Raw genomic sequence first — 15,678 nt, 5'->3', positions numbered from 1 at the left:
AGGAAACTAAATAGAGTTTTTATAACGTAGGCTTTCACATATTGGAGAGCAAAAAAGAGAAACTTGATATTTGAAGTGCCCTTTTCAGCAGTATGGATTCTGAAACCACAACATAAAGGCGGCCACCTTTCTCATACACACATAAGACCAACCTTCCCACTAGAGACAAAGATATGAATGCACCATAATTTAAGAAAATCAGCCCTATATCTGTCTTCCTTTCTCCTTCCAAGTTGTACAAATGGGACTCAGAGACCAGCGGGACTGCAAACTAGCAAGAATATTTGCTCTCAGGGGTCTGGAGCCAGGGAAAAGCCAAGCTCCAGGCAAATTATTCAATTCTAAATATCTATCAAGTTTCCTGACCCTTGCTGGTAGTTCTCAGTACTAAAGAGGCCTAGAAGGGAGTAGCAGTGGCCCAACCCTAGGGACACTACTGTCCCAAGAAGGCTTGGAGAAACATGACAGGATCCTTAACTAAGACAACTTGGGGTCCCTCCACAAGAACACAAATCCAGGACTTGGGAATGCAGGAGACAAGGTGGAACCCAGTACAAAAGTGAAAACTTGTTTACCCAAGAACAAGACTGAGTTATGGCTACCTGGCTAAACTACCTGGACAAGGCAAACTGCATGGTTGGTCCGCGAAGTCGCTAAGCCTCAGATGAAAGGAAGCTGTATGCCCTCTGGAAAGGGCCTAAACTGGTCCTAGATCCTGCGAATGAGGGAGAAATAATCACATCAAGGTAGTTACCACTCCTCTCAGGCCATTTTCTATAATGTAGGACTTTCAAACTTCTGTTTTTAGCACAAGAACCTTTGCCCCTAACAAAATCTTATACAAAATGCCTACTCATGAAGCAAATAAAAACAGCCGCCCAGGTTGAAACCAAGAGAGGAAGTTCTCAGAATTTAAGAGTCCAACAGACTACAGCAGGCAAACCACCACTAGAGAAGACACTGAGTCACACTGCCTATCAGATTTCACTGGAATCTAATCCCACTGGACTGTTCTCTTTATAGTCACAGTTTCTTCCCATCACCTCTTCCAGGAGGGTTCCCCTTCCTGATCCAACCTGGTAAGATCTGGTTTCCTATCACAGGTTGGCTTTTCCATCGTGAACACATAAAGCTCTGCATATCTCTTTTTTTTTTTTTTTTTTTTTGAGATGGAGTCTCACACTGTCTCCCAGGCTGGAGTGCAGTGGCACGATCTCCCCTCACTGCAAGCTCTGCCTCCCAGGTTCACGCCATTCTCCTGCCTCAGCCTCCCGAGTAGCTGGGACTGCAGGTGCCCACCACCATGCCAGGCTCTTTTTTTTTTTTTTTTTTTTGGATTTTTGGTGAGACGGGGTTTCACCGTGTTAGCCAGAAGCTCTGCATATCTCTTAAGGCAACAGGTGCTATCTTCCAGGTCTTTCTGACAGTCCGTATGCCCTTCCCTCAAAGCCCTTCAGGCCAACTCATCCACAGATTACTGCCCTCAGTGTCTTAAGGCATAACTAACTTCTGTAGAGCCCTTATCAGTGTGGGTCACATCATTTTGTTTGACACATTATGACTGTATGGTGTGCATAATATTCGGACTCCAGATTCGTTGATTCATTAATTTGTTCAGGATCCTACAGCCAGACAGTAGGGGAGTTGGGACTTAGCCCACTAGGAAGAATCAACGGCAGGATGGGGAATCTCAGAGACCTGGCTCTCAGGGTTTCAGCTGGTGCCTCACAAATAGGAGGCTTCCAGGGAATGTGATTCCACTTTCCCTTCCCTTGTTCCTCCTGTCTACCTCAAATCCTTCCTCTACCATACCACGAGAATTCCTGCCTCCCACTTCTGATGATGGCTGGGTGGGCCTGCTGAGACAGATGTGCTTTAATAGTGCTTTCCACACTATGCCCATTGTACATGTAACTCCTGGCTATAGCGTTCAGAAGCTGTCTCTCCAATTCTGAATCTTATCCAAACATTTCATACCTCTGGACTGAAAAAACTGAGCAACTGCTACTTCTCTATGCCAATAGGGCTGACTTAATCATTCAAAAAGCTCGTGGGCTTGGCTCGTACAGGATGCATCTCCTGGGAATGAGATGTTCCCTAACAATGCTGTCCAACAGAACTATAATGTGAGCACACAGGTGATGTTTAATTTTCTAGTAATCACATTTTATTTTATTATTTCTTTATGTCGCATGGTAACGTCCACTAAGTAATCACATTTTTAAAAATAAAAAGAAATATGTGAAATTAATTTTAGTAATATATTTTGTTTAACCTACTATATCAAAACTATTGCTGTTTCAACATGTAACCAATATTACAATTTGTTAAATAAGAAATTTTACATTTTTTTATATAGTCTCAAAGCATGGTGTATTTTACACTTACGCACATCTCAACTTGGACTAGCTGTATTTCCAGTGCCCAACAGCCACATGTAGCTAGTGGCTACAGTACTGAACAGCAGGTCTATCATCTCGCCTCTATTCCCATCCCTCCTATCATTTCTTTCCTTTAGTGGAGATGCTACGGGCAGGGGCAGACAGTGGGGACCAGGATCATTAGAGGAGACTGACACACACCTGAAGGGAAGGCCCAGATCACAAAGAAGCTTTCGTGCCATGCCAGGGAGCTTACATTTTAACCTGAAGATGCAGAAACTCCTCTGAAGGATTTTAAGCAGTGGAGAGTTGTAATCAGATTTGCCTTTTAGAAAGGCAGCAGTATGAGGAACAAATTGGAGACAGGCCAGGCAGAAGCCAGAGAGACCAGTTGCGAGGCTACTGCAATAATCCTCAAGAGAAGGGATGAGGGCCCGAACCACGGCAGTAATGAAGGTTATGATACAGGGAGGAAAGAGCAGATTCAAGAGAGTCTGAAAAGACAGTCTCTATATAAAATGTAGAGGTTGAAGAAGGCAAAGAAGTTGTCCTGGGTTTTAAACTTGGTGAAGCAGGTTTCATTCATTGAGATAGAAAACACAGAAGGAGTATGCTGGATTGAAGTTGGGGAAGTGATGTTTTGAACTTGTCGAGTTAAAGACATTTGGAACACATGTCAGATAAGATTTCAAGGCTGGAGATGCAGATTTACAATGGAATCAATGGCATATAGGTGGTAGTAGAAGAAAACAGAAGATGAGCTGCCACAGGGCAAACGTGCAGAATGAGCAGAGGGCTGAGGGCTGAACTGTAGGGGAGGCTAAGGTTTGAGAGGAAGGGAGGACAGTAAAGAGAAGTCCAAATATAGAGCAGCTGGACAAGAAAGAAAATGAGGAGAAATGGATAACTCAGAAAACAGGTGGGCAACATTTTAAGGAGCAGAGAGTGGTCAAGAACACCAAATGTTGTGCAAAGTTCAAGAAATGAAAGAGAATCCTAGATAATGGACCTGGTGGTCATTAGGAGAGGACAGGAGTGCAGGGGGTTGAAGATGAAAGGAAGATGGCGAGGTGCGGGATGTGTACGAGGACCTGTACTTCAAGGAGCTGCCTGCTAAGACCAGGAATAAGATGAAACACACCCAAACCTAGAGAGAAGCGACCAAAAGCGTTCATCGTTTTCTGTTTTCATAAAGAATATGAAAGACTTATGCATGTTTATATGTTGAAAGAAAAGGATCATTGAGACCCTGAAGAAAAGACAATGAAGCAAGGTCCCTGAGGAAGCAAGAGGGATTAGCATCAGACTGGAATAAGGGAAAGGAAGACAAGGAGTGGGAAGAGAGCCTGCCATTTATAAGGGACACAGATTACCACTGCAAAACATTTTTCCTTAATTAGAAATATAAATGTAATAATAGTTATCCGTGAAGGCTTTCTCTCTCTTTAATAGTACTACTTATCATGTATAAAATAAAATAAATGCTGAGCATGGGAAGAAGTCACTAGAGCTCCAGATCTGTGGTCTTGGTAGATTACCAAGCCTTTCACACACCTTCAAACTGCTCCTAAATATCACTTCAGGTGATACTCATCACCTGCAGAGCCACAGGCGTTGCTGACAGCTCTGACTTGTTGGTTTCTGTGCAGACCGATAGGTAAATATTTTCAGTGTCACCATGTGTTACCTCACAGGGTGGTATAAGAAAAAGCAGGGCCTGGGTGTCAGACACCAGATTCATCTGCCACTTATCAACTCTGCAGACTCAATCAAGTTATGTAACTTCCCTGAGCTTCAGTTTCACTGTCCAATAAGGGTGTATAATCCTTACCTTCCAAGATTCCTTTGAGGTTTAAATAAAATGATCAATAAGTGATAACTATGATGATGATGACTGTATTCACTTTGTTCTGAATCTCTAGGAACTGGGTGCTGATAATGAACTAGTACTTTGCAACAGCTAGCATCTTGATCCCTAAGGTGAATTAAAGTATTAATCCTAGTGTTAGGAAGGAATCTTGAAAATCCATATGGCCACCTAATGTTTGCATCCTTTCTTCATCTCAGTGCATATGCAGTTTCTGCCCGCAAACTGCCTGGGCTTTATACCAGCTCTACAAATTACTAGCTACTCAACCTTTCTAGGCTTCAGTTTTGCTCTTCAGTAAAACTGGAGTAATAGGAGCATGTACTTCATAGCACTGTTTTGAGAATAAAGGAGAGAATGTATATAATTAAATAAGATATTGCCTGGTATAGGCGATGCTTATATATGTTTAGTGATGGGGGCCTATTACCTCCTGAAATAGCACAATCCATAATGGGGCAACTTTCCATCTATTGACCCAAAATCTGTATTCCTCAAACATTCCCATTGGTCCTAGCTTTACAGACCATGGGACTCCGTTCCACAGAATCAGAATGAGGGTTCTATATAACAGTGTGTTTACACCTTTACTCAACTCGGCTAGGTGCACTGTGCAGTGTCCCACAGATGGCTGGCTGCTTGGGACCACAATCTGGGGTGCACCTCTCATTATTTACATTACTGTGAAAGTGTCAACCTTCAGTGGCATTTCCATAATGCAGGAGGCCTTTCTGAGCATTCTAAGTGAGCTGGATGCTATCCAGGAACACACTGGTTATACTGCTTCCAAGATTTATTTTTTGCTTTGTGTCATAGTCAGTTCAGCACTTGGCACCACATGTAATTACTGCAGGTATCTATATATCCTTTAGGTTCCATTATTGAACACTGCAGCCCACCAATGCTCAGAAGACTCCTAGCTGGGTTCAACTCCTCAGAAGCAGGAGTACTATAAGAGTGCTGATGTAAAGTCAACAAATTGGCCCTGGAATTCACTCACAGCACCCTTCCCCCATCCTTATATTCCCAATAACACTGAAATCTTATCCAAATCCTTTCAGTAATCACCTCAAACAACTGTCATTCTAAGAAGATTCCCTCCACTCCCCAACAGATTTTTTTCCCTTCTGAGCTCTGCTAGACCTTTGTTTCTGGGATACGTCTGTTATTTTTTCCTGCTAGGCTATAAACTCCTTCCCAGCAGAAACAGTGCCTTGTACAAAATAAGGCTTACTAAACAATTAAATTCGGTCCTGAATACAATGGGATGTGGTAGACTCTTCCCTACATCACCTTTCACCCTCAGATGGGTGCCCAGATGTATTTTTTTCTAATTTACAGGGATGCTTTTAAATGAAAAACTTGAGCAGCCCTGCAATAAATACAGTCTGAAATTTTAGAGCCAATTAGCTGAACTTTTATATAACTGATAACTTTAGCCTAATTGTTTGACGTATAAAATACTGGCATAAAGCCTCAATGCTTTTTTTGCTCAGTACTGGGGCCCATCACTCCACCTTAAAATAACTACAAGCTTCTTAATTCCAACTCACAACTGCCAGACTCCATCATTATCCCAACTCTGGGAAATGCCGAGTCCTCAGAATTCTCACAGTTGATGAATGGAGAAGCTGATTAGAACTACTGAAGAAAAATGGGAAAAAAAAATCTTGACAGACGCCTCCTTCAAATGCCTGTCCCTTTTATCCAATGTCAACATGAATTTCTAAGTTAACAAATATTTATTGAGGTCATGACTATGTGTCAGGCTATGAGTTAGGCTCTGAGGACCCAATGGTGAGCAGTTCAGAGTCAGTATCAAAGCCCATGATTTAAAAAAAATCATCCTTACATTTATTCATTTTATCGGTGTATTTATCAAGTGCTTCTTACGGCCAGGGCCGGTAGACAGAATAAAAGGCACATCAGTGCCTTACTATCTAGTTGAGAAAGAAAGAAAGAAGCATGTAACAGCGTAAGAAAGGATGTGATGGTCTAGAGGAACGATGCAAACAAAAGGGCAGAAAGAACCAATGAGAGTAACATGATCAGGGCAGGCTGACTTGAACTTGAAGAATGTGGTTAGGTCAGAGAAAAAAAGAAGAGACACATTCTAAAAGGCAGGGCATGAACAAAAAAGGACACATGAAAATGAGCATGTCATCTTAGAAGGGCAGTGAGATCCAACTAGTAGGAACAGAAGGTTCATGTTGGAAAGAAGTAGAAAATAACATTGGTAAGTTAATTTGGGGCAAGACTGTGAGGTACACTGAAACCAAGTTGAGAGGCTGGGCAATGGGGGAGGCCATGGAAAGTATTTGCACTCTGGTGCAATACTAAACAATGCTAAAGTATTGTTCCTGTGAAACAATCCTTGAAGAGTTTTGAGGGAAGAGTTTTAGGAAGGTTGATACGGTGGAAGTGCGTAGAATGGGGAAAACTCAATTACAGAGAGACCAAGATGTAGACTATAATTATCCTAGAAACGGTGATGGCTGACGGCCTCCCATCCGATCAGGGAGAGTGAAGAATGAAAACGAAATGCAGGGGTGGCTCAGAGAAACCATTAAAAAGGAAGAGTTAACAGGACTTGATAACACAGTTTCACAGAGGCAGTGAGAGAGCGAAGAGTCAGCAATGGTTCCTACATCTCCAGTCTGGGTGATGAAGAGAATGCTAAACGGATCAAGAAAGGAAAGTCTTTTCATCATAAAAGGAAGAAGTTTAGAGAGAATACAAAAAGTTTGTTATCAAGCATGTAGTCTTTAGCTTGACAGCAGGCCATCCACCATAAAAAGTCTATTAATTAAGGAAGTAGATAAATAGGAATGGAGTTTGGATCAGTACTAGAGACAAAGATTTGTATGATGCAAGGAAGGATAACATCACATTTAAAATTTTTTTATCAGAAAATAAAAACACTAGCTATTATCAAAAATAATAAAAAATTACATAAGTTGTAGAGAGAAATATATCTTCATAAGACTATTTTTCTCAGCTATGGTACTTAGGGGATCCTACCCATTACCACAACACTGAAGGAATAAGCTTCTGCAGAAATTCAACATATGGCCTATTTACATAACAAGCATCACAACTCCAAATTAGCCATTTTGATGTGTCAAAGACATAACACCTTCATAGCAAGACTACTTCAAAAAAGGGAAGAAAAAAGAAAGGTTTGTTTTTCTTCTATAATTATGTTTACTGGGTTTTTAACTGTTTGTAACATGAAAATCTTATTTTAATTGTGTGATTACACTTTAAGGCAAAACAGTGATGAAATGGATTAGTTGAATGTTGCACAACATTCAGAGATCAATAAACAGACCCAATCACTTAAATCTGTCCATATGAGACACCTACTCTCATGTCCTGTGTCATGCTTGTAAAATCTACTCTTCTGTGCACAGAAATTATAAAAAACATATGATTTAATTATCACAGTCAAATGACAGTAAAAGTGCTACAGAAGATGGCTAGGAAAGAAGTACTATGAAGCAGTGACTAAGCAGTACCTGTCAAGTGCACATAAAATGCATTCCACTCTTGTCATACAGTGGGACAGGTAGTAGCAGCTTAGATCTTACGAAGAGCAACCACAACTTTTTCCATCCTATCCAAACTGTAACCAGAAGTTCTTGTCCTGGCTCACCTCAGAAAATGCTGATTAAAACTGTGTAAAGTAATAGAATGAAGACCACCTATGCCCTTTCAACACACAACCATTCACGAACATTCACTGTGATTGATAACACAACTCTGATCGCAGACTGAGAAACTCACAAAAATTAGGCCCCAAAGTGAGATATTTCTAAAGCTTAACTTCTGATGTAAAAGCTTACCACTTACATGGCAAAACGGGTCCATAAAATGCTTCAGACTGGCATGCAATCAAAGACTGCAACGGTGTGGCCTAAGTATTTTCTTTCCCTGATCCTTACTGGTGTGGCAGAGCAGCTTCTCAAGCCCACAGATAACTCTCTCCACAATGGCCTCAGGAAAATCAGTGCATGCAGAAAAACTATTTACTGAAGACTTTCATTAGGGGGCTCCCTAAAACAAAATGAATACAAAAGGAGTCTTGATCATTTTGCCTGTCTAAATGAGCACATTAAACTAAGTTGATTCTTAGAAAATCATTTAATATTTTCAGGGATTAAAGAAAGAAAATTGCCAATTAATACAGTCTTTTCCCAGATGTTCAGTTTTTACTAACGTCTTTAGCTATTCTCTGCATTCAAGTGATTGTATTTTTATGCAAATTATCTTTTGGGGCTAGTCTCTAGTTTGTGTGTCTGTGTGTGTGTGTGTGTGTATTTAAAGCCACACAGATACAGAATTTGACATGTTTTCTGCCACACAGATACAGATTTGACATGTTTTCTGTTCTGCTGCTCCATACAATAGGTTTTAACACAGCTTGAGCTTATTCCAAAACTCTAATTAGAAACTGCAGTATTTGCCTTGTCCAAATAGAAACCCATTCCCAAAGTTGATTTTTCCCCAGTTAAAATTCAACAAAGAATATCATACACAGATATTTTTAAACACGACAGTTACTAGATAAAACTGCCCTATCTAACAACACATTGCTTTCTGGTTAAGCAACACAATTTCATAAGGCCTATCAAATACTTTATCCAGACGGCCACTCTATTTTCAGGGTATTGGTTGTATTATTTGAAGTCTTTTTTTTTTTTCAGAGTGAAGAGATTTCTGACTTCCTGTCCTCTTCCCTGCTATATTACATACATCTGCTTAAACTCTGGAAAACAGTACCAGTCAAAGTGGTGCTGAAACCTTCCTTTAAGACAAACTAAAACGATGTTAAAAAGGTTACACGACCTTACTATTTCAAGTACTGGTATAAAACCACTTTCTCTGCACAGGTTCTAAAATTTCACAGTCGTTTGTCTTAAAGTCTGTCGGCTTGTGAGGGGGCTGGTACATATTTTAATATTTAAATTTCAAAAAATAAGCAATGAGACTGTGTTTGAAGTTCAAGGGTTTTCACTAGTTCTCAAGCTACAAACCCTGTAATATAGCCAAAAGAAAACGTACAGAAAGAATCTTTCACGAAAAGTGTCAGGTCTCCAAAACCCCGACATCTGCTAAAACCAGGATTGCGGGGGGGATGAGAAGCTCGTGAAGTTCAAAAACACACCAACCCCGCGGGAACACGAAACCTCCACTCGCGAAGACGCGACGCTTCCGCCGCATCCCCGCGCAGGTGAAGACTCGGCCCTTCAGCCCCGCGTGTGCGGCAGCATGATATTCAGAGTGCGCCGGCGTCCAGCGCGAGCGCATCCTACGACAACCCCGTCTCCCGCTGGGGTCCGCAGCCCGCGGACTCCGGGGTCCCCCCGCCCAAATGCGGCGGCGCGACCGCTTCGTCCCGCGGCCAGGGCGCTCCGCGTCTGCTCCGGCCACCCCAGCCCACCCGCGCAGCGCGGACGCCAACGCATCCCACTCCCGCTGGGCGCCAGGGGCGCGGGGTTCAGTGGGGCCGCGGCCCCCGCACCCGGCTGGGATCCGAGGGCGGGGTGGTCGCGGCTGACGTGGGCTTTGCGGCTCCGGGCCAGAGAGCAGCCTGGGGGACGGTGGGTCTCTTTCCGGCTTGGGAGGGAACGGGGGCGCCCGCGCGGGAGGACGGCAGGCGAGGGACGGCGGCCGCGGGCGATTCAGATCCGGGGCGGGCGGGTACACGTCGGAGCGCGGCGGCCACACGCTCGCCCGGGGAGCGCCACTGTGCGTCCCAGCCGGCGCCTCCTCCCGCTTGCCCGCGCCGGCTGGAGAAAGGAAGGACGGCGACCTTCGCGTCCGGTCCGCGCCACCAGCCCGCCTCGGCGCCGAGCGCGGGCCACACCCAGCGCTCCGGGAGGCGGCGGAGGCTGGGCGGCCCGGGCTGCGGAATGCTCGGCCCAGCCGAGTCTCCGTCCCGGCCGCGCAGGCCCCTCCGCGTCCGCCCGCGCCCTGCATCCCCAGCCGGCCCGGCGTGGAGGGGGTCCTGGGCTTACCTCTGTGTCGAGCGCCGGCTCCTCCGTCCCGGGCCGGAGCCGGGGCCCGGGGGCGCGGTCGCCAGGGGAGGCGCCGCGGCGGTGGCGGCCCCTGCGGCTCGGAGGGCGGGCCGAGCGGGAGCCGCTGCCTGGGCCGCGCGCCGTCCGGAGCTCGCCCCGCGCTGCCGGCGCTTGCAGCGGAGGGCGCAGCCAGCTCGGCCCCCGGACTGGATTCCTTCACTGACACAACTCCGGCTCGGCCGCCCCACGCAGGGACACTCCCGCCCCTCGCAGGCTGCCCCCGCCCGCCGACCCGCCCGCCTTCCCCTCGGTGTCACTCACCAGGAGCACACACCCCAGCCGGCGCCCCTCGCTCCCGCTCGCAAACACAGCGCTGCTCACGCCTCTCTCGGGTTTTGTATCCGCTCACACGCACGTTCTGACACAGATCTCGTCCCTCCACACGCCCTCCCTAGCTCCTTTCCCACCCCACTTTCTAGAAGAATCCCAGTACAGCTTCCGCACTTTGCTTGCTTGCTCCAGACCGACTTCCTCGCCTTTCCCCAAACCTCCACTTCACCGAAACTCCCCTTGTTAATGAAAGATTTTGTCACAATCCGCACGTGTTGCAAGAGAATCATCTTCTCCTACCCGAGAAAATGAACTTTGCTCCCTCAGCACTGTCTGCAAATACGAGATGTTTTTCCTTTTAGAAGGTAGTAATGCTTTCTGGAGAGGATCCAAGCTCAAAATGTAAGCAAAGATAGCCCATTCGAAAATGACCTGAAAAATCAGGCGCGGAAAAAGTGCTGGAGCTCGGGTCAGCCCTTGGAAACCCGACCAACCCGGGGTGTTCCGCCGCCTCCTCTGCGCTGCGGGTCTGCACACTGGGCTCCAAACGTGTGTGTAATAACCAAGTTACACATGGGCATCGTGGGCTTCAGCCGTGGGTTTCTGCCTGGGAGTACAGTAGTCGGGAGAGTAAAAGCAGTTTCTCAATCATTATTCATGATGGAAGCACTTTAGATAACACTCTTCTTCCAGAGGCAGTAGAGTGAAATGCAGGCAGCTCTCCAATTCAGGTTTTTATTTATTTATTTATTTATTTATTTATTTAGAAGGGTGACTTCTTAGCTTCCTTTTTTTTTTTTTTTTTTGGCAATACCAATAACTGTTTCTGAGTGGCTCCTTGGCTGTCAAGCTCCTTACAAATATCAGACCAGAGTTTGTTATGCTTCTCGAGCTCCAGACTCTAATGGGCCTCCGAGGGCACTGCAGAATCGTACATAATCCGATGTTCAGGAATTCATAATTTGAAATAAAATACAAACACCTTTCGGATAAAGTTCAAATCTGCTAACATAATGTGGCCCTGTTGACAACGCACTGCTGAAATAAAGAGAGGAGCTAAAACGAAAGGAATTCATTTTCTTATGTGACTTGGAGTGGTTCTTGCTACCTTATAGTCGCCTTGGATTGGTGTGTGGATAATATAATTTATTTAACAGACATTAGCAAGTGCTTTATAAGTACTAGCTCATTTAATCCTTGGAAGAACCCCATCAGGTAGGTACTACTTTTGTCCTGTTTTACAGATAAACTGAGGGCTGGGCCCAGTGGCTCACACCTGTAATCCCAACACTTTCGGAGACCGAGGTGGGCAAATCTCTTGAGCCCTGGAGATCAAGACCAGCCTGGGCAACATAGTGAAACTCCATCCCTCCAAAACAAAAAAACTAATAATAATAATTGGCCGGGCATGGTGGTGCACGCCTGTAGTCCCAGCTACTCAGGAGGCTGAGGTGGGAGGATTACCTGAACCAGGTAGGCTAAGGTTGCAGTGAGCCAGGATCACACCCCTGCGCTCTAGTGTGGGCAACAGAGCCAGAGCCTTTAAAAGAAAAGAAAGAAAGAAACTGAGGCACAGAGAGGTGAAATAAGTTGCCTAAGTTTTTAGCTAGTAAGTGGTAAAGGAAGAATTTGAACCTAGACCGTTGGACCCTGCCTGTGCTACAGAGAGGAAAGCTTGCTTCTAGAAGCCATACCACACATAAAGAACAAACATCCTATTGCTTATTAAATTTAGGTGTAATAAGTAACTTGTAGCCATTTGACTTGAAATTTGATGCACTTCTTAGGTCCTCTGGCTAAATAATTTATTTATGTTTTTGGGAGGTTTCCTCCATAATTAGAATTCCAAAATGAATAATAAACAACACTTTTCCTAGGAAGGGCTTTGGAAATAACATTGAACTCAGTCTTCATTCTTTTCTTCCACCACTTCATAATCTTCCCATGACTCCAAATCTAACTTGCTTAGTGAAGTCCGACAGAAAAAAATGCCTTCAAGAACAGAATATGACCAGAGGGAAGAAAGGGTTTTAAGAAGACCATATACCGCCTTTCTAATCGAAGGCTGCTTCTTTTAGTAAGTACTGTAGGTAGGAGCTATAAGAATAAATGCTGTATGTGTTGAGAGCAAAGATGTTAAAGCAGTGAATCAATGAAAAAATAGAGACTAGGCAGGTAGGAGTAGCCACTGTACCACAGACTAGGCTAAAACTAATTCTCTACTGTGAGTGGAGGCCTAGCGCGTGAAAAGACAAGTATAGAATAACTTCGAAGAAAACAATTGTATATTTCAAGAGTTAGCTAAGGGGCCCAGCACCCCCCCAAAAAAATCAGAGTTTTAAAAGTTTTAGAGACAGTGAATTTCAAATCAAACTTGAACCTTTTGCTGTTCAAATTAATTTCTTCTGGAAATAATGAAAACTTCTGTTTCTGTTAGAGAGGATTTAATATGCTTATTGAAACATGTAAAAGCTTCTTGCACATCATATAACTAACAAAGCATTATTTTTCTGAATTAGGCATAAATGATTTTTAAAATATGCATTATATTCCTATTATTATAGGGAGATAGAAAAGTCTGAAGAAACAAAATATGAATAAGATATATGTTGATGTTTTCACCAGATGGTCAAAGTTTATTTGAAAAATTACATTGTTTGAAATCTTGATCTGTGTAATGCTAGTTTGACAGTATTGTTCAAAATGATTCTCTGTGATTACAATTCAGAGATTGAATTGCATTTTACTATTTTCTAAACTAAATAGAAATGTGAAGATCTTTTCTTAAGCAAACAAAACAAGAACCATAAGAGCAGATGTTTTCTGAGGGATGAACAAAGTATGTTCGTTTATATTTTTTAACATTTACGTGTAGGTATTTTTAATCTGTGCGTACTGCTTTCCTCCACATTGTCACCTACACTCTTTATTCAGGGTGCTTAATTGTAAGCCTGGAGAAACAATGCCATGTCCTTCAATAAAGATGACTCTTTTCTTGCAGTATTGATTTTTGCAAAATGCCGTATTTCCCGCTTGCCACCCCTAGATTGTACCAGGCTCCTGATTCTCTAGGCATGATCGTTCAGAGCAGGGCTCACATTTGTGGATATAGCTCAGATTCTGGAAACCTGTTTCAGGCCATGATCAGTTGTGACTCTGTTAGGATTTTGATATCTGAATAAGTAGTGGGGACAGAGAGGAATTTTAGTTGCTAGACTCCAGATCACTAGGCAATATTCAAACTTATTGGGGAGGGCATCTACCATCTAGGATCTTGGACTTTGTGTGCAGTGAATGAATGGAATCTGGGTTATCTCCCATAGGAAGGGGATGAATATGTGTTCTGTGTTTGTTAATGTGCAATCCAGTAGGGCTGTTCACAAATATTCCAGCTCTGCTGCCTTTGAAGCACATGATAAGATTGTACTTCCCCACCTGACTAAAGTATAGTATAGCCCTGCGAGTTGCTTCAGCCAATGAAAGGTGGCCGGAAGTGATGAGTATAACTTTGAGTCAGAAGTTAAGAGTTGGGACATCAGTCACCGCATTCTTTTCTTCCTAGTGCTGCAACATCAAGGTGCGTGGTGGTGACTGCTTCATCAGACTGGAGTGAATGACAACAATGAGCAATGCCATCCCTGCTGAGCATTAGTGGACATGTAGTATGATCAAGAAATAAGCCTTTTTTGTTCTAAGCAACTGAGATTTGATGGTTGGTTGTTTCTGCACCGTAATCTAGCCTATTCTGTTTAAAAATAGGAAGGAAGAAAGAAACAGATAATTGCAGGGAACACCTTGGCAGAATATGGCTAATTATTCCCTTTCCTCCTCAGTGCACAATAAATTCACATTTCCTAGCCTCCCAAATTGTTAGGTGAAGCCAGGGACTGAATTCTGGCCAATGGAATGTAGGCGAAAGTGTTGTACTCCCCTTCCAGGCCTCATCCGTGGAAAGCCTCCCACATGATCTCTCTTCCCCATCTGCCATGTGGAAACTAAGGACCCTGAGACTTCAAAGCAGAAGTCAGGAAACTTTTTCTATAAAGGGCCAAATAGTAAATATTTTAGGCTTTGTGGATCATATAGTCTCTATCAAAACTGCTCAACTCTGCTGTTTTATGGAAAGCAGCCATAGGCACTATGTAAACAAATAAGTATGGCTATGTTCCAATAATACTTTATTTACAAAAACAGGCAGTGGGCTGCATGTGGCCTATGGGTTGTAATTTGCTGACCCCTTATCAAGAGGAGGGTAGAGCTAGGATGGAAGGAGCCTGGGTCTCTGAGTCACCCTGTCACTATTTCTTATAGACACTCACAAACACCTGATATTAAAACATTTAATATAAACATTTAATATACCTGTGTCTGCTTGTTGAACACCCACAGTTGTTATCTGAACACCCACAATTGTTATCTGAGTAAAAAAAAAATCCTTCTGTTGAATGAAGCATGACTAATACACTGTCTTAGCTCATATTCCAGAAAAAATTCCAGATGGATTAATAATCTAAACATAAAAAACTATAAAAGACTAAAAGAAAATATAGGAGACTTTTACAATATTTATAATATTTATAATCGAAGGCTGCTTCTTAGTAAGTACTGTAGGTAGGAGCTATAAGGGCTCCTTATAAGAGCTTTATAATACTAATTAGAAATATCATGAAAAAATTTCACAAGCTATAACAGAAAAAAATTAAACAGAGAAGACTATAAAAATTTAACATTTCTATCAAGTGAAGGGTACCATAAACAATGTTACCTAAGGGGAGAAAATACATGCAACATGTATACACAACAGGAAAGGGTTAATATGGGTAATATAGACAACTTCTTGAAATCAGTATGAAACGAGAAGCAGCAAAAGGGTAAGAAAATGGACAAAGAAAATAGACAATTCTCAAAAGAAGGACTATGTGCTAATAAGCATATGAAAACATACCCAACTTCATCAATGATCATAGCATAAATAAAAACAAGATAGCATCTGTTATTTGTCAGATTGGCAAAAATATGTTTTACTATCAGGTGTTTGCATCTATAAGAAATAGGAACTTTCATACTTAGCTGACTGGAG

The 15,678-nt window shown here is 43.1% G+C and overlaps 1 protein-coding gene across 12 annotated transcripts in view, besides 6 other annotated features; it reads right to left on the bottom strand.

Annotated features, from left to right (window-relative positions):
• The window catches only part of SPATS2L (spermatogenesis associated serine rich 2 like), a 176,386-nt gene extending 165,074 nt beyond the window's left edge, over positions 1 to 11,312 (bottom strand). For 3 of the 12 annotated variants that reach the window (XM_024452788.2, NM_001282735.1, NM_001282743.1), the window contains exon 1: positions 10,899 to 11,310. Coding sequence is in view for 4 of the 12 variants with exons in the window: in XM_011510938.2 (XP_011509240.1) it covers positions 8,101 to 8,118 (18 nt within the window). In the remaining 8 variants the exon portion in view is untranslated. Of the gene's footprint in view, positions 1 to 8,100; positions 8,305 to 10,268; positions 10,499 to 10,589 lie in introns of those variants that run through there. The other 9 variants (NM_001100422.1, NM_001100424.1, NM_001100423.2 and 6 more) reach the window with 6 other exon arrangements.
• Positions 4,425 to 4,925: an enhancer, noted in NCBI's record as "H3K4me1 hESC enhancer chr2:201176989-201177489 (GRCh37/hg19 assembly coordinates)". NCBI's record gives its function as "activates a minimal SCP1, AML or CMV promoter by ChIP-STARR-seq in primed H9 embryonic stem cells {active_cell/tissue: H9 hESC(primed)}" and the evidence as "EXISTENCE:reporter gene assay evidence [ECO:0000049][PMID:30033119]".
• Positions 9,534 to 9,863: a silencer, noted in NCBI's record as "silent region_12224". NCBI's record gives its function as "represses an Ori minimal core promoter by ATAC-STARR-seq in GM12878 lymphoblastoid cells {active_cell/tissue: GM12878}" and the evidence as "EXISTENCE:reporter gene assay evidence [ECO:0000049][PMID:35858748]".
• Positions 9,884 to 10,613: a silencer, noted in NCBI's record as "silent region_12223". NCBI's record gives its function as "represses an Ori minimal core promoter by ATAC-STARR-seq in GM12878 lymphoblastoid cells {active_cell/tissue: GM12878}" and the evidence as "EXISTENCE:reporter gene assay evidence [ECO:0000049][PMID:35858748]".
• Positions 11,024 to 11,123: an enhancer, noted in NCBI's record as "active region_16955". NCBI's record gives its function as "activates an Ori minimal core promoter by ATAC-STARR-seq in GM12878 lymphoblastoid cells {active_cell/tissue: GM12878}" and the evidence as "EXISTENCE:reporter gene assay evidence [ECO:0000049][PMID:35858748]".
• Positions 13,587 to 14,786: an enhancer, noted in NCBI's record as "P300/CBP strongly-dependent group 1 enhancer chr2:201167128-201168327 (GRCh37/hg19 assembly coordinates)". NCBI's record gives its function as "activates an origin of replication core promoter dependent on BRD2, BRD4, P300/CBP, MED14 and CDK7 cofactors, with strong dependence on P300/CBP, by STARR-seq in HCT116 cells {active_cell/tissue: HCT116}" and the evidence as "EXISTENCE:reporter gene assay evidence [ECO:0000049][PMID:35650434]".
• Positions 13,995 to 14,044: an enhancer, noted in NCBI's record as "active region_16954". NCBI's record gives its function as "activates an Ori minimal core promoter by ATAC-STARR-seq in GM12878 lymphoblastoid cells {active_cell/tissue: GM12878}" and the evidence as "EXISTENCE:reporter gene assay evidence [ECO:0000049][PMID:35858748]".

This window comes from Homo sapiens, chromosome 2 (assembly GCF_000001405.40).
Source record: "Homo sapiens chromosome 2, GRCh38.p14 Primary Assembly".
NCBI lineage: Eukaryota > Metazoa > Chordata > Mammalia > Primates > Hominidae > Homo > Homo sapiens.
The sequence above is the reverse complement of the archived record's forward strand: the minus strand, read 5'-3'. Positions and strand labels throughout refer to the sequence as shown.